General features: G+C 37.9%; 1 protein-coding gene across 3 annotated transcripts in view; it reads right to left on the bottom strand.

The window, feature by feature from the left end:
• Positions 1-1,580: 1,580 nt before the first annotated feature.
• The window catches only part of RAD23B (RAD23 nucleotide excision repair protein B), a 48,916-nt gene continuing 28,767 nt past the window's right edge, over positions 1,581-21,729 (bottom strand). For 2 of the 3 annotated variants that reach the window (NM_002874.5, NM_001244724.2), the window contains exons 6-10: positions 14,896-15,023; positions 11,657-11,792; positions 9,758-9,885; positions 8,771-8,941; positions 1,586-4,232 (exon numbers count right to left, since the gene is read on the bottom strand). In NM_002874.5, the coding sequence (NP_002865.1) occupies positions 4,119-4,232; positions 8,771-8,941; positions 9,758-9,885; positions 11,657-11,792; positions 14,896-15,023 (677 nt within the window). In that variant the 3' untranslated portion in view covers positions 1,586-4,118. Of the gene's footprint in view, positions 4,233-8,770; positions 8,942-9,757; positions 9,886-11,656; positions 11,793-14,895; positions 15,024-21,729 lie in introns of all 3 variants that reach the window. The other variant, NM_001244713.1, reaches the window with a different exon arrangement.

Raw genomic sequence — 21,729 nt, 5'->3', positions numbered from 1 at the left:
TTGTGCTCGTGGAAGACAATTAGGTTAGATCTGTAAAGGATCCATTACTATTAAAATGGCCACTGTCACAGTACATCAAGTTCAATGGCAGAGACCATGTTGGTATCCGAAGCACCATACCACACATGAAGCAAACTTGTCGTCCATTTCTTTGGTCCTCCCAGCCTCCTCTCCACAGTGAAAACCCTACATGAGGTACCACTGCTTTCTAAATCTAACTTCATCCCAGTGAAGGCTCTTTACAACCAACTTGTAACTGTTCTTGCAGTTCCCCAAATGTTACTGACAATGCAGTATCTTTTTCCTAGCAAGTCCAAGCCTTCACTCAGACTCATCACTCCCCTTTCCATCCTCCCATCCACAAAGTACACAGTTCTGGAAGCTACCCACCCACCCACCAAAACAGGTCCAATTGCTGCAACTTCTCCCTCTAAGGTTCCACCCACTCTCTTCTTCCAGCTGCAGTTAAGATGCTTCCTCCAGTTGCCCCAACTCCAATCCCAGGGCATAAGAATTTCCAGATGCTTTCATCGGGCTTTTGTTTTCTGGTTGACTTGTCACACTTTGCCAGGTGCTTTTGACAACGTGGTGATGGACTTCATTATCCTAATGTAAGAATAAGAAACAGTGTAGCAACATCCAAGAGTAACTTAGACACCACTAGGCCAGCACACCAGGCTCACAATGTTCCTTTTCTTTGTGAGTGGATAATAGGGGTTATATCACTCCTCTGGAAAGATCTGTGACAGTCACATGGAAGCCAGACTACAGCTAAGACCTGAAGTCAAGAGTCCAAGAATGTCAGGAGAGGAATTAAAAAGCATCATATAACTTAGGGTAGACTAGTCAGTTTTCAACAGGGGTACCAAACCTTTGCTGTAAAGGGCCAGATAGTGATTATTTAGGCTTTGCAGGCCACAGTCTGCTGCAGCTATCCAACAGCAAACTTCTGTAGCACAAAAGTAGCTATAGACAATATGTAAACAAATGAGGATGGCTGTGTTTCAATAACACTTTTAAGGACACTGAAATGTAAGTTGAAACTTTTGAGGTGATAAAAAACATATACAATTGAAACCATTTAAAAATGTAAAGATCACTCTTAGTTCATGGACCACATAACAGGTATATGCCAGATTTGGCTCATGAAGCTGTAGTTTGCCAGCCCTTGGCTTAGGGGGAAAAAATGGGGAAAATGGATGGGGGAGGCCAACTGAACTTCATGGCTGGAGAATCCACCAGAACTGACTGGGTCAGGAACACTCATTCCCTCCAATTGCTTACTTTCGGTAGAACATTTTGCAGCAGGCTTTGGCTGGCTGCTTCAGACAAGTATGGAACAATGGAAATTTTATGCATTCCCTAGAAGACCTCACTAACCTTAACATCCCAGCAAGTATCCCATCTCTGTGTTGAGAAAAGAACCAGGAGACCCAATAAAGTCAATCTAGTGCCTGGGCCTCCTATATGATACACTCACCAATTACTGAAGTAAAAAGAAGTATCAGTGACAGAAGCATTGTCAACTTTCAATTCTGATTCTACGTGACAGAATCATTTAAAAAATGAGAAGTGCAATGTTGGATGTATTGAAAATATTTTATAATCAATTCTCTAGAATCCTAGCCATCCAGTACAGGAAAAAATTATATTGGAACACTTCCGTATTTTTAAACAATGAAAAAAAATTTGACTAGAGGATGGCATAAGAAATTTACAAATACAAACTTAGGCTTCCTCACATTTCCCACAGAGCAACTAAACGAGAAAAAGATTTCAAGAAATGACAGTATACCTCGAATGCAAAATTCCAAAGTCAAATAGCTACTTACATTAAGAGATTTACCAAAACAGTTTGTAAATTAAACATTAACAGCAAAAGGCACAAAAAGCCTATTTCTTTTATGGTGTCTCGGCTGATTCTTTAAGAAGCAGATAAACAAGGTACTGTATGGAACGATCAAAACTTGGCCTGAGCTGTCTTCTGATAATTAATCCTAGTATATCCAGATTTGTTGTCCAAGGACACAAGCTCCATGCCACCTTCTGCTGTCACTTTCCAAGAAGAGGCTGTTTTTTTTTTTTGTTTCCAGTTTTCACTATGATCTGAGTAGACAGAGAATGTCATAAAATAAATGAGAGTATTCCATTATCCGATCAGAAATGCCACCTCTTTTCCCAACTCATTGCTCTGACTTGAAAGATGAACGTATATATGAATTCTCATTTTATTCTCCTGAGAAATTATGCATGATCCATTATAAAACATACAGGTAATACAAAGTCCAAAAGCCTGTCATGTTTATGGCAGTGGTGTGATCTCAGCTCACGGCAACCTTCACTTCCCGGGTTCAAGCAATTCTCATGCCTCAGCCTCCCAAGTAGCTGGGACCACAGGCGTGCGCCACCATGCCTGGCTATTTTTTGTATTTTTAGTATAGACGGGGTTTCGCCATGACGGTCAGGCTGGTCTCAATCTCCTGGCCTCAAGTGATCTGCCCACCTCGGCCTCCCAAAGTGCTGGGATTATAGGCATGAGCCACCATACCCAGCCAGTTTCATTTATTTTCATAATAGGTTATGAGTACGTGATGTAAATGCTTAAAAGTCATCATCACCATACTGTGCTAAAGATATTGAGAAATTATGCAGAGAAATCTGTGCAAATTCATCTTCTTAGTATCAGATGGTTAAAAAAAAGGAAACAAAAAACAAAAGCAATCCAAATTATTTCTTTAAATACTCTTATTTATACTCAGGAAAACAGATTTGAAAAACTGAACAAGTAGACATCTGCCCCGTTTATGATTAAATAACAATGCCAATGAAGGAGATTCCACAGAAAAAACTGAGATGAAAAAATCCAAATAAAAGCCAACACTGCTATTAAGATTTTTCTTTTAATATGCCATGAGATATCTTGATTGTATATTTTCCAAAGTACTTTCCAGCCACATCTCCCAACCCATCCAAAAGACTTTGCCAGTCTTTCCAATGCAATAAAAGATGCTGGATTATAGTTTTGTCTACCATTTCTTTTTGAAAGCAATATTATACTAATGACTTTAATGGTAATACACTCTTATCTAATAAAGAAACACATTTACAAATATCAGAAACCCAGTTTTGAAACATTTGCATTAATTTTGAACTGAATCAGCATTTTGTGGGTTTTTTAAAAGGCAGCAGTTTGACTCACGACTTGCTGATAAACACGTTTCTGCTGAGGGAAGGGGAAAAGACAGGGAGAGTGAATGCTGCATTTCTCCATTGGCCCCAAAAGTGCTAATTTCACAAAGGGATACATCAAAAGCAAACATGCAATGGTTGTTTTAAAACTTTTACTGCAATATAACAATGAAGTAAACAGTAATTAGACACCTACCAATTTTTTCCCCAAAACAAAAAAAAAATGTAAACAGGAAAATAACTCTGCCTATACTTGTACAGCTTCTCAAATCATGTTAGAAGGGTCTCACATTCAATGATCAAGAAATTTTAAAATAGCAGTAATTATTTTCATTTTAAGAAAAGGTTCCCTTTCTCCCCTCCCACCCCAAGTATTTAACATGAAAGAATGGGCTTCCTTACATATTAATTTTATACTTATTTTTGAAGCAGCAACAATTAACCATCAATTTGGCATTTCTGTTTACAGTCGCTACAAAAATTTTTTAAATTTCACAAAGCCATTATCCAGTGTTGCCATGAAACAGAGACTGTAAATTCTAGGTAGCTAAGATTCTTTCTGAAACCAATGTTAAGTCAAAGAAATATAAAGCAGGGCATTACACTAAGTTTCTGGATCTAGTACACTAAAAAGAGTGAAACCTAGGAAAAGTTACCTACTGTTTTACAGAAGAAATAAAGACCTGCAAAAGCTGATTTTTGGTTGTATATATTTTACACACTGTGTGGAGTTGCGGCATCTGCTAATTGAAGCAGACATGCACTGTATTTATCCCTGCCCTGTATCCTAGATCCCTCCCTCCCCACCCCCAACAATCTACTACCTTATACCAAGTATTGTGGATATGAGCCCAAGTCATCCCAGACAATCCAGTGAACAAGTTAGTGTAATGCACTGGTGTGAAGTGTGAGATATAAAAAAGTCCCTTTCAATCTTCATCAAAGTTCTGCTGTAGAAGAAAATTGGCAGCCAAATTCTCATTCTTCTCACAAGCAAAATACGCTTGTATCACAAGTCCTTCAGGAAATCCTAATGCCTTTAACTGGAAGAAAAAGGAAAAAAATATAAATCCAACACACCAATTATGGCACATTTAATTTTATTTACATATTATAGATTCCAGCATAGCACTAAAGATAAATCATTACTCAAAAACATACTGCAACCCAAAAAAGCTCTTGAGAATTTTACATGAATTCATCTCTATCAATATGGATTTACTGCCCAACCCAAGGGATTAGATGGAATCTAGACCCTTTCCTTTACTAATCACCTAAAAAAGTCTTTGTTTCTAGTTAAAGCTTAATAGATACTATGCAAATACTCTTTGGCCTAATTAAAAATTAGCTGCTAACTGCTATGGTTTAAAAATAAATGACTCTACAGAAATATGTAAATCAAATGGCTTTTAGTATATTAAGAGTGAAGATAAGGATGAGAGTACCTGCAGTATAGTTTAACCACCTCACCTATTTCTAAATTAAAAGCAAATTATGTTTTATTTATTAATGTCAACTCATGTCTTTCATTTGGATCAAACATCACTCTCAATCTCCTTGCTTTATTCAACACTCCATACTAGAAAAACAGGTGACCAATTATTAGTAATACATGGTACATTTTGAAGATAATGTTCTATTTTTATCTGCTTAACAGTTACAGCATTTTAAATGGTAATACCAGCTACTTAATTTCATTTTCCTAGTCTATTATATTAAAAATCACTTGTGACAATACTCACTCCTTTTAAAAGCCTTTAAAAACTCAGCCAAATGTCACCCTCCTCAATTGTCTCAATCACCTTGAGTTAGATCACAGGTCCCAAACCCCAAGACCGTGAACTGGCACCAGCCATTGGCCTGTTAGGAACTGGGCTGCCCAGGAGCAGGTGAGCAGTGGGTGAGCAAGGAACTGGGCCGCACGGGAGGAGGTGAGCAGTGGGCGAACAAGTGAAGCTTCATCTGTATTTACAGCCACTCCCCATCACTCGAATTACCACCTGAGCTCCGTCTCCTGTTGTATCAGTGGCGGCATTAGATTCTCATATGAGCATGAACCCTACTGTGAACTGTGCATGAGAGGGATCTAGGGTCTGTGCTCCGTATGATAGCCTAACAAATGCCTGATGATGTGAGATGAAACAGTTTCATCCCAAAACCACCGCCCCACCCCACTTCCTAACCTAACTAACGCCTGATGATCGGAGGTGGAACAGTTTCATCCCAAAATCACTGCGCCCACCCCACCTATGTTGGTAGAAAAAAAGGTCTTCTACGTAACTGGTCCCTGGTGCCAAAAAGGTTAAAGACTGCTGTGTCAGATTATATTTGGAAATAACCCTTAAAATTTGGGCAAAAATCCCAATTCATCACGAATAACTATTCATCTATGAAAGCAGAAGAAACTAAAAAATCAGTTTGTTATCTGGGTTTTATCCAGATTAAAGCTAGGATAGGTGAAGTAAAGGGTACAATCCAACTGCCTGCTTCTACAAAACACACAATTTAGATTCAAAGACACAAGTAGGTTGAAAGTAAAATGATAGAAAAAGGTATATACTATGCAAATGGTAACCAAAAAAGAGCTAGAATGGCTATATCAGAGGAAACAGATTTAAGATAAAAATTGTTACTATAGACAAAAGGCATTTTATGATAAAAAGGGTTCAGGAAGACACAACAATTATATATAACAGAGCCACAAAATACATAAAATAAAAACTGAGAATTAAAGGTAGAAATTGGCAATTAACAATAATAGAGACAACTACAGCTCCACCTTCAATAATAGATAAAACAGCTAAGGAAGAAGACTTGACTACAAACTAGATCTATCAGATATTTATAGACCACTTAATAAGAACTACACTATATTCTTCTTCAGTATACATAGAACATTCTTCAGAAATACCATGTTAGGCCACAAAACGAACCTCAATAAGTTGAAAAGTATTGAAAGTATATTCTCTGATTATAATGGAATGAATTTAGAAATCGAAAGGAGAAAATGTGGGAAATTCATAAACTTGTGGAAATTAACACAATCCTAAATAACGAATGAATTAAATTAGAAACCAAATGGGAAATTAAAAAACATTTTGAGATGAAAGAAAGCAAAAATACAACATACTAAAACTTATGGGATGCTACTATAGCATAAACGCAGAAGGAATATTATAGCTATAAACATCTATGCTAACAAAGATAGATAATAATTTAATCTTAAACTAAAACTAAACAAAGAACTAAACTAAACCTAACCTAAAAAAGGAAGAACAAACTAGAAGCAAGCAAGAGGGAAATAAACATTAGAGAGACTTAAAACAAAACAAAACAAAAGACTAGAAAAACAATAGGGAGAATCAACAAAACCCAAAGTTATTTTTGTCATTAACAACAACCACCACAAAATGAACAAAATTAAAACCTTTAGCTAAACTGAAGGGAAAAAACAAAAATATCTTAGGACTCAAATGACTGAAATCAGGAATAAATGCAGGAACATTATTACTTTATCAAAAGAGGAAATAAAATGATTATAAGGAAATATGTACAATTGCACGCCAACAAATTAGACAGCTTAGATAAAATAGACAAATTCCAAGTCAAAAACCACCAAAACTGACTCTAAAAGAAATAGAAAAGTTGGCCGGGTGCAGTGGCTCACGCCTGTAATCCCAGCACTTTAGGAGGCCGAGGCGGGTGGATCACGAAGTCATGAGATCGAGACCATCCCTGGCTAACATGTTGAAACCCCGTCTCTACTAAAAAAATACAAAACAAAATTAGCCGGGCATGGTGGCGGGTGCCTGTGGTCCCAGCTACTCGGGAGGCTGAGGCAGGAGAATGGTGTGAACCCAGGAGGTGGAGCTTGCAATGAGCGGAGATCACGCCACTGCAATCCAGCCTGGGCAACAGAGCGAGACTCTGTCTCAAAAAAAAAAAAAAAAAAAAAAAAGAAATACAAAAGTTGAATAGACAAGTAACAAGAGACTGAATCAATAATCACAAAACTTCCCCCCAAAAAAAGCCCAGGACCAGACTACTGGTGAATTCTATCAACTATTCAAAAAATTCACACCAATTCTTTTTTTTTTTTTTTTTTGAGACAGAGTCTCGCTCTGTGGCCCAGGCGGGAGTGCAGTGGCGCAATCTCGGCTCACTGCAAGCTCCGCCTCCCGGGTTCACGCCATTCTCCTGCCTCAGTCTCCCGAGTAGCTGGGACTACAGGCGCCCACCATCACGCCTGGCTAATTTTTTTTGTATTTTTAGTAGAGACGGGGTTTCACCGTGTTAGCCCACACCAATTCTTAATAAATACTTCCAGACAACAGGAGAGAATAATTCCCAACTCACCCTAAGAGGCCAGTATTACCCAGACACCAAATTCAGACAAAAACATCACAAAAAAACTACAGACCAATATGACTTATGAACAGATGCAAAAATCCTCAACAAAATACAAGCAGGCTAAATCCAGCAACATATAAAAAAGATCATATGCTGTAACCAGTAAAATTTATCTCAGAAATGCAAGGTTGGTTCAACATACAAAATCAATCAATGTAATAAAGCATACTAAAGGACAAAAATCACATGATCATCTTAATAAAGAAAGAAAAAAAATTTGACAAAATCCAACACCTTTTCGTGATGAACAAACTAGTAACAGAAGAGAATTTCTTCAATCTGATAAAGGGCATCCACAAAAAACCCATAGATAATATCATACTTAGTGATGAAAGACTGAATGCTTTCCCTTAAGATCAAGAACCAGACAAGGATGTTGTTGGTTCTTGCTAGTCTAATAATATACTGGAGGCTCCAGATAGGGCAGTTAAATAAGACAAAGAAATAAAAGGTATCCATATTGGAAAAGAAGTAAAACTGTCTCCATGTGCAGATGACATGACCTTGTATATGGAAAATCCTAATGAACACATGCACAAACTACTTAATGAATAAATAACAGTTCAAGAAGGTTTTATGATAAAAGATCAATATACACAATTAAATTGTATTTTTATATAGTTAGCAATGAACAGTCTGAAAATGAAATTAAGAGAAAAATCCATTTATAACAGCATCAAAAAGAATAAAAATACTTCGAAATAATTTTAACAAAAGTATTACACAACTTCTACACTGAAAACTACAGGACACTATTGAAAGAAATTATAGAAAAACCTTATTATTAATATGTGACTTCTGAGCATTTGAAATGGGGCTAGTGTGACTAAGGAATTTTTTTTTTTTTTTTTTTTTTTTTTTTGAGACAGAGTCTCACTCTGTTGCCCAGGCTGGAGTGCAGTGGCACAATCTCGGCTCACAGCAACCTCCACCTCCCAGGTCCAAGCAATTCTCCTGCCTCAGCCTCCCAAGTAGCTGAGATTACAGGTATGTGCCACCACGCCAGCTAATTTTTGTATTTTTAGTAGAGATGGGGTTTCACCACGTTGGCCAGGCTGGTCTTGAACTCCTGACCTCAGGTGATCCACCTGCCTTGGCCTCCCAAAGTGCTGGAATTACAGGCATGAGCCCAGCCAAGAACTAATTTTTTTAAAGTTTTACTTAAACTCACCCTTTCTATAGCTTCTTTTTCCTGAGGTGTTACTTGAATGTAGTTCATATGACCACTTCCAGCTTCTGCAATTCCTCCACTGCCACCTCCACCTCCTCCTCCTTGACCACCAGCTTCTTGAACTGGTTCATTTAACATCTGAATAAAATGCTCCTGGTGTTGGCTAATTTGCTGTGGTGATATGAAGGACAGAGAAAAATAATACACTGATATTAAGTATCTGCAGGAACAGAGAAATTCTAAATATTACTAAGAGAAAAGGCTACACTTTTGCAAACGTAATTTAGTGATTCTGGATTATTCAGTCTTTGGAAGGATGTGATTTCTTATACAATAGTAAAGAAATTCAGTACTTTTGGGCAAAGTAAACAGTGAAGAAATTCAAATTCTTAAGTGCTCTGAGCCTCCTGTGCTTAAAAAAACAAAACAAACAAAAAACAAACAAAAAAAACTACTGTGGGACTATAAGAATAGAACTTATTCTTAATACTTGCATGTATTTTTTACCTTCCACACTAGTGGGCATTAAAATGCTGTATAAAATTCAAATACTTGGTGATCTGATCACTAAAGAAGCCCCACAGCTATTTTTTCTAAGAGTAAGTTGTTCCTGTTGCTTAAAAGTTCCTAAGAAAAAGGAACTGAGTAATAAGCTTGTGAAAAGTGATTTAAAGTTAGGCAGTTTCTCTGTTAAACAGCTTCCCAAATTCTTTAACATATTAATGTGTAGTGGGAATCTCCAAAAAGGAAATATAAAATGTTTCCCAAACTTACTACTATTTGGTCAACTTAATTTAACCCAACCTCCATATCCCAACTGTTTTTTTAGTACACCTATCTAGATTACAATATCTAAGTGTAGCTTGGAAGAAAACATTCACATTCTCAAATACAGAGTTGTATTTGAGGAGGGGAAGGACCGTTCATGGACTTTTTCAAATTGTGACACACTCTAAATCACTTGTGAAACTGACACTGATTAGTCACCTGAAGTAATTGAGGATTCTCTCGACCTATCTGCTGTAGTAACGCTGGAAGCAAGGAAGGATTCTGCTGAATAATTTGTCTCATCTGTTGAAACTGAGGCTGATTCCGTAAAAATTCAAGGGGATGTCCTAAAATACACATAAACATTTCTAAACAAAAGCAGTAAATACATACACAAACAGTGGTTAAATAATACATTTAGACAGCAAACACTATCAAAGAAAAAATGATTTGAGTTCTCAGATGTAATAAAATGAAGTAAATAATGATGAAATCTTCCAACTGTACCAACTTGCAAGTTTTATACGGCAAAAATTACTCCTATTAGCAAAGGCAGGGAGTGCAGAACGCTGACTGTAATATGAACCAAACTTTCCTATAATTGCCCTTGGCACTCAACGTTATAAAATAATACTAGAAACTTGTCTCCTGTGTGTGTTCTATCAAAATAAAAAGTACTAAAAGTTGTTCCTGTTGCTTAAAAGTTCCTAAGAAAAATATACACCACAACAAAAACAAAAACTCACTTACTTTATAAACAATGAAAACCCCTAAAAGAACACAATCTGAGCTTGAATTCCTAGGAATTCAAGAAACCAAAGAAGAAAAAGATATTTAAAGTCTGAGGTCAGGTTTTGCAAATCAGGAGAAACTTTAATCCAAACTTACATTAAGGAAGACTTCCGGTTATTACCATTAATTTTCAAACATTTGTGAACTACAAAAACTCGGATAAATAAGCTGTATGGCAATCTAGTACTAATATATCTAAACTCTTCAGTCTAAAATCCATTCACAATAATAAATGTTAATAATGCCAAATAAAATATAAAATACAGAACTTCTGGCTTTTTCAGGGTGCTGGTACTTGTCTGGTTATGCTATAGGAAACCAAAAATCGTACATACAGGAATTGTTTTTGAGGTTACTAATGAATAAAAGAGAATTTTTAGATGTATGTTGTAATTTCCTATTCAGGAAGACAATCATTCCAATTGAAATGACCACAGCACATGGGTTTTTTGTTCTTCCATATATAATACCAGCTTTACAGGTGAAGGCAACGAGACTTAGAGACTATGTCACCTAATAAGTGCTGAAAGGAACAGGACCCCAAATCCAAAGCAGAGCTGTGGTCATCTCTTTCCACTCCCATATGCTGAATCACAACAAACAAAGGGCCTGTCCTTGGGAGACTGTACACAAAGCACTGAGTGACCTTTGTCAACCAGAGGTGACTATCATTATCAGAGCTAGGAAATGCATGGAAGAATGGCCTTTTCAAGATCAACAGTTTAAATTACTTTATTAATATACAGAAGAACGAACGAAGGAGAACACTGCGTAATTCCTAAGCTGACCGCAGGTTCCAGGCTTTGCTCTGTAGTCAGACCTATAGCAATGTGTGGGGTATGGTCAGCACCCCAGTAAAGAGACTTCAATTCAAGCTTTGCTTTCTCCTCTAGATACAAGGTTTTAAACCTCTCACGGTTTCATTTCCTTGGCTGTATAATTACTAAAATCCTGCTGGCTTTGAAATTACATACACTTTGTAACATTTATGGAGAGAGTAAGAGACAAAGTGAGCAAACCATTCTGAATGGCATCAGAAAGTAACACTAAATACAAACTGGAAAGCATCTTTTCCTTAAAACAAATAAAACAGAATATGCCCTTCGGCAAAACTGCAACACTGATGTTTAATATCAGCAAGGATACCTTTTACATCCACTTGGGAAAGTTTCTTTTGGGCCTTTCTCAAACATTAGTGAAGAGAGAACTTAACGAATTATTCGACTGCTCTGGGAATGAACGTCATTTCTGAAGTATTTCAGGTTAAATTATTTTACACTAAAAATTCAGGGCCATTCCCTCCCCATCCAGAAGATTCCGCTTTACCTCCAGAACTTGTTGTTGTAGTTGTTGCTGTCGTAGTTGCTGCAGCTGCAGCCACTGCTGAAGACTGAGGAGCCCCAGTACTAGCTGCTTGAGGGGGGTCAACCACAGCCTGACTTTCTCTATCTCCAGGGATTCCCTGTAATAGAATTTCCAAGCTTTAAGATATCCCATCATGCAAAATTAAATATTATACAGAGTAAAAGATTTATAGTCTATTTAACATCTTGTTTGATTTTCAAAAGCATCAAACAGATGTCTGCTTCAATTAAAAGTAAAGGATTATTAAGCTGCATGGATTCAAATTAGATTAGAAATGACCTGGGTGCATTATAGAAAAACCCACATTGCTATAATAATGCAAAGCAGCACTGTCCAACAGAACTTACCATGATGATGGAAATATTCTCTGTGTTGTTCAATAAGACACCTACCAGGCACACGTAATTAGCATCAAATTTGAAAAATATTGATACATGTACCTTCTTAAAACTGAACACAACCAAAGGTTTTTGTGCTACCTATTAGTTCAGTTGACTTTTTAACTTCTTAGAAATCTTTATCAGCTGTTACTCAGTGATAAAAAGGATTGAGTTTGCAACTCTAGCTTAAGATAATCCAAAAAGAGGTTTTGATGCACACTTGACAGTTCTGAAATGACTCCTGGGGGAAAAAATATCTAATGGATACAGACCAGGTACACAGTGGCCAGGCAGGAGGATCTCCCCTACTGATCCATGGTACTGAGAAAGTGTCACTCAGAAAGTATCTCATAAATTTGAGGTACTTTTCAGTGAAGTGTTTCTTAAAGTGTCAAAGTATCTCATAAATGAGATACTTAAAGTATCTCATAAATGAGATACTTAAAGTATCTCAAAAAATGAGATAAAGTATCTCAAAAAATTTAATTTTTCAAAATTCATAAAATCGATATAAAAGAAATTGAAACCATTTAGTTTTTAGGTGATGCCTTTTGTAAGTTTATAGTACTTATCTTTTAAAGTTATTAAGAGCTTAAAACTGCATGCACTAAACTCTTTTGGGACACCTATTTTGATGCACATGATTGATAGACTTGTCATTTAAAATTTTTAAAAAGTCTTTATCAAGTTCTTATAGATTTTGAAGAGAATAAAGAACCAAGTATTACAATTGAATAAGATGATAAATGCTTCCATTCCCTAATAAACCAGAAGCCAAAAGCAACAACATATAAAGGATGAAGAGTAACACAGCAGGAAAATGGCTGCATGGATTAGATGTCACTCCAGGCATTAAAACCAATGTTTTTGAATGAGTTAACCAACGCAAACCCTTAACTCAGATGGGCAGTTATTTAAGTGCTAACAAACTACATACAAATTTAGGATCCAGGGCGTCCATCAAATTCTCTTTTATTAAACTAAAAAGTTCATCTTTATTGCTATAGATCGACCTCTATTCTCACACATTACATAGCCTCTTATATAAATGCTCAACATTTCTTCTTTCCATCCGTTCACCTTAACCTATCTCTTAACTAGTAACAGTTAAAAGCAACTTTTCCCCTTCAGTCTATGAAACAAAGAGCAAATATATAAAAAACATTTTAGTTATAAATTGTTTTTGATGAACTCATGTATCATCTATTTATTTGCATTTGATGCTCTACAGCAGTTTTAGCATTTGGTAACAATGATTCTGTATTTTTATACCTCAAAACTCCACATCTATTAGATCAAAATAACTGATACTGTTGAACTTATACAGAATTCTAAATCAGGTGTAAATGAAAGCCACTCCATAAAAGCTAATACTTTTATACAATCTGTTTAGGGTACACACTCCTCACCAAACAAATTCACAACAATTATTAATTCCACAATTCCAAACAAACTGGATAAACTGCCAGCATTTAAAGACACTACTCAAGAAGATAATGAAAAAGTGAATTTAAAAAGATAAAATAATATGCTAAGAAAAAGGTTTTGTGAACTTCACATGCAAAGGCATAGGCAAATAAATGGTGGAGGCAGAGTACAGTTATGAGGCTTATAACTGACTCTTCTGAAACTAGCTAGCTACCTGAAAGGAGTTTTTAACAGAAGTACAACCTAGACACAAAGGAATGGGTTAAACTGTGGATGTAATTCCCAAAAGGGTTAGAATCAGGCAACTTTAAGATGATATTTAGGGCAATTCAGACTTTGATAATACTCCAAAACACCAGACAATTATAGAAGTCTGAGATTTTAAAAAACTTAATTCAATTACTTTAGCCTGTGTCACATCTGTAAAACTAGCAGACTTTCATCTTAATACCAAGGGTTTCAGTTGATGTCCACAACAACCTATTTCTCAAAAACTCCCATTACCAGTAAAAAAAAGAATACTTTATTCAAAAAGTCCCTCAACTCCTACTGACTATAAAAACAAATTCAAATGCCAACGGAACCAGGTAGTAACATCATTCATTAAATGCATGATGTTACGTTGGTAACAGAGTGAATCAGAGGATAATGAATTAGATTCCACGATCTAAAATATTTTCCTTAATCCCTTGCAAAAATCTGGGATCAAAGTTGTCCAGTTAAACCAGAAATCTGTACTTTTATGTGAAATTTCCCAGTTTTTAAAAAGCTGGCAACTTATTACAGAAATATACACAGTATAAGCAAAAGAATTTGGCCCGGATTCTCAAGCTTGAAATTTTGGCCAGGCACGGTGGCTCACACCTGTAATCCCAGCACTTTGGGAGGCTGAGGCGGGCGGATCACGAGGTCAGGAGATCAAGACCATCCTGGCTAACATGGTGAAATCCCATCTTACTAAAAATACAAAAAAATTAGCCGAGCATGGTGGCAGGCGCCTGTGGTCCCAGCTACTTAGGAGGCTGAGGCAGGAGAAAGGCGTGAACCTGGGAGGTGGAGCTTGTGGTGAGCAGAGATCATGCCACTGCACTCCAGTCTGGGCGACAGAGCGAGACTCCGTCTCAAAAAAAAAAAAAAAAAAAAGAAAAAAGAAATTTTTGTTCTGAATAATTCACGCATAGTGGCACCTAAAAAGCTACTACAATGTTGGACCATTAGATTAAAAAAGGTTACATTTTATTAACACAAAATACAAACATACTAGAAAAAAAAAAGCATTATGTATATCATCTAGCATATATCAGTGACAAGTGAACTGGTCCTTTAAAATCTGTTTCTTTGAGATTTTAATCTTAAACAACAGAATGGAGTAAAGTAAAACATATTTCTCACCATTAAAAGATACTCCACTGCTCTGTCAGGGTTGTTGAAACTGGCTCTCAGGGCTGCAATTACTTGCTCTCGTTCATAGCCCATTGACATGATCTCAGTTACCATATTCTCGTAAGACTGACCCGTCACTAAAAAGGGAGGGTGGAGGGGAAAAAAAGGAACATTTAATAAATAAGCATTCTCTATACATTTATTGATTCATGTATACAACATTTCAGGAACTACTATGCTGGGAATACAAAGATGAGTAACAGTATAAATTACAACATATATGTAGTAGGTAATGGTCCCCCAAAGATGCCCTCTGGTTTGATCCCTGGAACCTATAAATAGGTTACAAGGCAAAGGGAAATTGCGGTTATAGATAAAATTAAGGTTGCTAATCAGCTGACTTTAAGACAGAGACCTCATTCTGGATTATCCAGGTGGGTCCAGTGTAATGACATGAATCCTTAATAGTAGTAGGAGGAGGCAGATGAGAGGGTCAGAGAAACAGGTGTGAGGAGGAGGAGACAAAACCAGGATGAGAGATGTTATGCTGTTGCCTTTGAAGATGCAGAAAGGGGCTACCAGCCAAGGTATGGTAGGACAGGATCAGGAAAAAAATTCTTCCCCGGAGTCTCCAAAAAGGAATGCCGGCTCCCTGATTTTAGTACAGTGAGCCCTGTGTCACACTTCTAACCTACAGTACTAGAAGACAGTTAATCTGTGTTGTTCTACACCAATAAGTTTGTGGTAACTTACTACAGTAGCAACAGGAAACTCATATAATATGTTTCAGAGTACAATAGAAAAATGAGGTATGAAGGTAAGGGAGAATTAGCAGGAGGTCAGGGAAGGCAACTGGTAAGAAGAGACACCAAATTCTGAAAACATGCTGGGGAAGGGATGGTATTTCAAACCATCAACTCCGATGGAACAAGTTCACAGTTTCCCTTTGATACCTTATATAACTGAAACGGGGGAAAGAGAGGTTAGGAGCTAGAAAGTTAAAATCTTGTACACTATACAAAGTTGGTAAAATGCCCAAAGCGCTAATATTCCAAGTCACTTCTTACAGACTCCTATGCTCCCTCCTCTCAATACAGACAACACTCTGAATAAATGAAACCTATTTTCCTCATAAACTTACCTCACTTAAAACTATCCTTTCTTCTGCTTGTGTTCTGGGGACCATTACCTTTATTGTTGCCTCACACTCAAACCAAACTGGATTTGGTTATCCTCCCTCTTCTCCACCAACATCTTTACCCCTCTGTGTAATTATCCTGGGTCAGTAGTTAACTATGTCCTATATTTCACTCTAAAACAAAAACACACCTCCCACCTTTGACTTCATCCTAATTCCTCTTTGAGGAACCATCTGCTGTCTTCTCATCACAGCCATAGCTATTGAACATGTGTCCACTTTCTCACATTCCACTCATTCCTCAACTAATTGCAATTCAGATTTCCCTCTCAAATGTGTCCCACCATTGTCTGTCTGCTCTCTTTAAACAAATGGCACCTCTATTTACCTAAGCACTTGGACAAAAACCCTGGTGATTTCAGTTCCTTTTCCTCTTCCTTCCACACCTCACTTACCAGCATACCTGGTAGGTCCTATCTCTAAATTACACCCCAAACCCATCTCTTCATTCTCTACTGTCATCACTGAAGACAAGCCCACAACAGTCTCTAGATGGGATTACACCCTGTTTCCAACTCTTGTCTCCATATCTATAATCTGTTCTTCAGCCAGTTGCAAAAGTCAAGTAAACACACACACACACACACACACACACGCACGCGTGTGCGCAAAACCCCTCATTTTATTTCTGGCTCCCAGCCCTCAACAATCCTCCACCCACCACACTCATCTTCCCGGTGTTACTTCAGCAGGCCACACCTTTTCCTGCCCCAGGGCCTTTACACAACACCAGCCATCTTAGATGGCCAGTTCCTTCAACATGCTTCAGTTCCATATTTAAAAGGCATTGCCTAGTCATCCTAGGTAGCCTTCTGTTTTTTCTTTAGGGAAGCCCTTTGTGTTAATATCACTTATCTTTTTTTTTTTTTAATGTTTCATTATTTTTTTCTTGCCCCAACTGAATGCAAGTTTGACTGTGCAGGAAACCATGTCATTCTGCATGTTTCCCTGATACACAGCTGAAACCGAGTATCTGTTGAATAATTTTTTTCTGCAGAATTTTCAAAAATAAAGGTGTTTAATAGCTAAAAACCCCCAAATATCACAAACAGATTAAGCATTTGATATCTTGCTTAAAATAATGACTTTCCTTTTCCCATCCCATAAAACAATAAATTTTAATTATTTATTTTCTTATCTACTGATATAATTCGAGCACAAAGCAACTCAAGTAGCAATACATGTTCAGTAACCTAATTCCCAGATACAGAAATCAGTATCAATACAAACGAAATTACGAGCTACAAAAAATCAGAACTGCACTATTTTAACATGGTGTTTCTCATTTAGTTCTCTCTCACTACTTCATAAGAAAGGTTTAATTTCAACTCCTTTAAAAGATGAGGAGGGTACAGCTTGGAGAGATTAATAATTTGGTAAAGACTAGGTATGGTGGCTCACGCCTGTAATCCCAGCACTTGGGAGGCCGAGGCGGGCAGATCACGAGATCAGGAGATCGAGACCATCCTGGCCAACATGGTGAAACCCCGCCTCTACTAAAAATACAAAAAAAATTAGCTGGGCATGGTGGCACGTGCCTGTAGTCCCACCTACTCAGGAGGCTGAGGCAGGAGAATTGCTTGAACCCCGGAGGCGGAGATTGCAGTGAGCCAAGATCACGCCACTGCACTCCAGTCTGGCGACAGAGCAAGACTGTCTCCAAAAAAAAAAAAAATTCGTAAAAGTATTAAGTCATGGTGCAGAGATACAAACACAGGCTGACAGTCAAGAGTCTCCACACCTAATCATTACACTATGACTCCTAAAATCATGTTTCCTAGTTAAATTATACAATCTCAAAAAAATACCCATAAGCAATGTGATACTTTTTAGATCTTAAAAGTCCAAAGGCAAATGACTTGTAAAAAGAACTAGAGAGGCCAGCACAGTGGCTCGCACCTGTAATCCCAGCACTCTGGGAGGCCGAGGCAGGCGGATCACCTAAGATCAGGAGTTCGAGACCAGCCTGGCCAACATGGTGAAACCCCGTATCTACTAAAAATACAAAAATTATCTGGGCATGGTGGCAGGCGCCTGTAATCCCAGCTACTTGGAAGGCTGAGGCAGGAGAATTTCTTGAACCTAAGAGGCGGAGGTTGCAGTGAGCTGAGACTGTGCCACTGCACTCCAGCCTGGGTGACAAAGAGAGAGAGTCTCAAAAACAAAACAAAACAAAACAAAAAAAACAAAAACGAGAGAGACTGGCCAAGAAACAGAGTAATGAGGCAAAAGAGGTGGTGATGAAGAACCTTATATATGTCATTCAGAATAAGCTTTGATCAATATTGCCTGACTTCAAATAATACTACCAGGCTATTGTAACCAAAACAGCATGGTACTGGTATAAAAACAGACACATCAATCAATGGAACAGAATAGAGAACCCAGAAATAAAGCTGCATACCTACAACCAAAATGATCTTCAACAAAGTCAACAAAAACATACACCGGGGAAAGGACACCCTATTCAACAAATGGTGCTGGGAAATTGGATAGCCATATTTAGAAGAACGAAACTAGACCCAGACTTCTCATCAAACACAAAAGTCAACTCAAAACAGATTAAAGCCTAAATATTAAGACCTGAAACTACAAAAAAACCTAGAAGAAAACCTAGAAAAACTCTTCTGGACACTGGCTTAGGCAATCTAACAAAGTGCTATTATCCAGAACTTTAAAACATCAAGAAAAAAACAAATAACCCCATTAAAAAGTGGGCAAAAAACATGACTGGCAAAAAACATTCTTCAAAAGAAGACAGACAAGTGGCCAACAAACATGAAAAAATGCTCAACATCACCAATCATCAGAGAAATGCAAATTAAAACCACAATGAGATGCCCCATCTTATACCAGATGTTGGGCAAGGATGTGGAGAAAATAGAATGCTTATACACTGCTGGCGGAAATGTCCATTAGTACATCCTTTATGGAAAACAGTACGGAAATTTCTGAAAGAACTTAAAAACAGAACTATCATTTAATCCAGAAATCCCACTACTATGTATATATACCCAAAGGGAAATAAATCATTATATCAAAAAGATACCTGCACTTGTATGTTAATCACAACATTATTCACAATAGTAAAGATATGGAATCATCAATGGAGGATGAGATAAAGAAAATGTGGTGTGTGTGTGTAATAATACTCACCCATCAAAAAGAATAAAACCATGTCTTTTTTACAGCAACATGGATAGAACTACAGAGGCCACTATCCTAAATGAAATAACTCAGTAACAGTCAAATACCCCATGTCCTCACAAGTGGGAGCTGAACAATAGGCACACATCATATAGAGTGGAATAACAGACACTGGAAACTACAAAAAAGGTGGGGAGTGGAGTGTGGGTTCAAAAACTTCCTGTTTGGTACAATGTTCATTATTCAGGTGATGGCTACACTAAAAGCCCAAACTTCACCACCACATAATATATGCATGTAAGAAATCTGCACTTGTACTCCCTATATACAAATTTTAAAAATTAAAAAGAATAAGCTTTGGACTTATCTTCCAGGTCATGAGGAACTATTAAAAGAATTAACAAAGACCCCATGAGAGTTGCTTTCCACTCTGGTAAGGAAGAGGCAGACCAGGTGGATAAGGATAATGCAAGAGTACAAGTGAAATAAGGACCTGAACTAAGGCAACTAAATGACAGTGAAAACAAATATTCCAGAGACTTTAAGAAACAGAGTCATTAGTAACTGTGGAATGAGGGGAAGAAAGGGAAGGAGGAAGGAAGGAGAAAGGAAGGAAGGAGGAAGGAAGGAGAAAGGAAAGGAGAAAGGAGAGAGGACAGAGGAGAGAGGAGAAAGGAAAAGAAAAGAAACAGACTTACTGGGCCAAAAGAGGCAGAGGGTGGATGAATGAATGATGGTACAAGTAAGAAGTGAACAAGAAAAGAATCAGACTGGGGAATAAAAAATGAGTCAGTTTGAAACCTGAAGTCATGGAGGTTCTAAAGTTTTCTAGTTGACAATGTGAAGATACGAGTTTGGGAGTTCAGAGGGAGATCTGTACTGCAGCTGTAATTTGGGGAATCTATATAGTATATGGATGGTATTGGTCATTCCCATAATTTAAACTTTGAACTATGACCTAGAATGGAACCATAGAAAACTCATACATTTAATAGTCAGGTAAAATAAAACGAATTAACTGGCCGGGCACTGTGGTTCACGCCTGTAACCCCAGCACTTTGGAGGCCGAGGCGGGCAGATCACAAGGTCAGGAGATTGAGACCATCCTGGCTAGCAGGGTGAAACCCCATCTCTACTAAAAATACACAAAATTAGTCGGGCGTGGTGGCACGTGCCTGTAATCCCAGCTACTCAGGAGGCTGAGGCGGGAGAATCGCTTAAACCTGGGAGGTGGAGGTTGCAGTGAGCTGAGATCATGCCACTGCACTCCAGCCTGGGCGACAGAGTGAGACTACGAAAGGAAAAGGAAAGGAAGAAAGAAAAGAGAAAAGAAAATAAAGGAAAAAAGAAAAGAATTAACTAGAAAGCTTGAGAAGGAAGAGCCTGAGGTATGGATCAGGAAAAGAGTGGTGTCACAGCAGCCAAAGAAGGAAAGTTTAAAGAAGCAAGGTTAATTTGTACAGCAACAAGATAAATCAGAAAAATAAAATAAAATAAAAAAGCAGGGAATCAACATAGAGACTTGGGTAAATTAAAGATGAAAATGTAGAGGGATCCCGAGACCATAAAGCTGAGAATGGGAAGACATCGTCACAGAGGCTTGAGTAGCAGCAGCTACAGCATGGCCTCCCAGGCTCCCGGGAACTCAGGAGCATCAATGCATTCCAGCTGCAGCAGCAGTGACCACAGCCAGAGCCTTCAACACCATCAGGGGCAAGTGCTAGCTGGCTCCAGCTGGAGCCGAGGCCACAGACAGTTTACTGCCTCTCTGGGTAATCCTATTTTCCAGCCCTTCCAATTCCTAACAATTTCCTAAGATTAAGCCTTTCCCTCTTTGAAATAGAGTGGTTTCTGTTTTCCTGGCTAGAGACTAACTCACACTGTATTTGATAGCAGAGTGGTTTTAGGACACTGCTCCTCAAAGATGAAAATCTGGGGTTGTCACACCCAGGCGATCTTAGATAATTTAAACTGCCGTTTTGCCACTAAATGTACATGCCATTTTCCACAGCAACAAGGGCATCACGGAGTTCCAGTCCAACTAGCTCAGAGAACCAACTCAGATGCTAGGAGGTGGTACTGCTGCTGGAACCCTGCTGCTGTAGAAGCTAAGCAGGAATCCAGAAGCCTGTACTGCACCAAAGCTGCTGTTTCTACCTATTCCTCGCTTTCTCCCTCCCTGCCATTTAAAAGTAACAAACTAGGAATGGAGTTGCCAGCCAATAAACCAGTAATTAGCAGGAACTGTATCAGAGATGCTACAATGGGAGAAAAAAAATGCTGCTTCATTTTGACAGATTGGGGTGATGGGAGATGGAAAGGCATTATTCAGTAGGTAAAATTAAAAGTTGGGATAAAAAGGCATTTTTGCTGCAAGCCAATGCAAGCAACAAGATGTAGATGGGAATGTATAGTGCCATCAAGTTGAATTAAGTCTAATGGTGAATACACATGAAGTGTGAGGCAGATCTTAGAAAAATTTCATACCCATTTCAAAG

This window comes from Homo sapiens, chromosome 9 (genome assembly GCF_000001405.40).
Source record: "Homo sapiens chromosome 9, GRCh38.p14 Primary Assembly".
In the NCBI taxonomy this organism is placed as follows: domain Eukaryota; kingdom Metazoa; phylum Chordata; class Mammalia; order Primates; family Hominidae; genus Homo; species Homo sapiens.
This window is presented reverse-complemented; position numbering and strand designations above follow the sequence as displayed.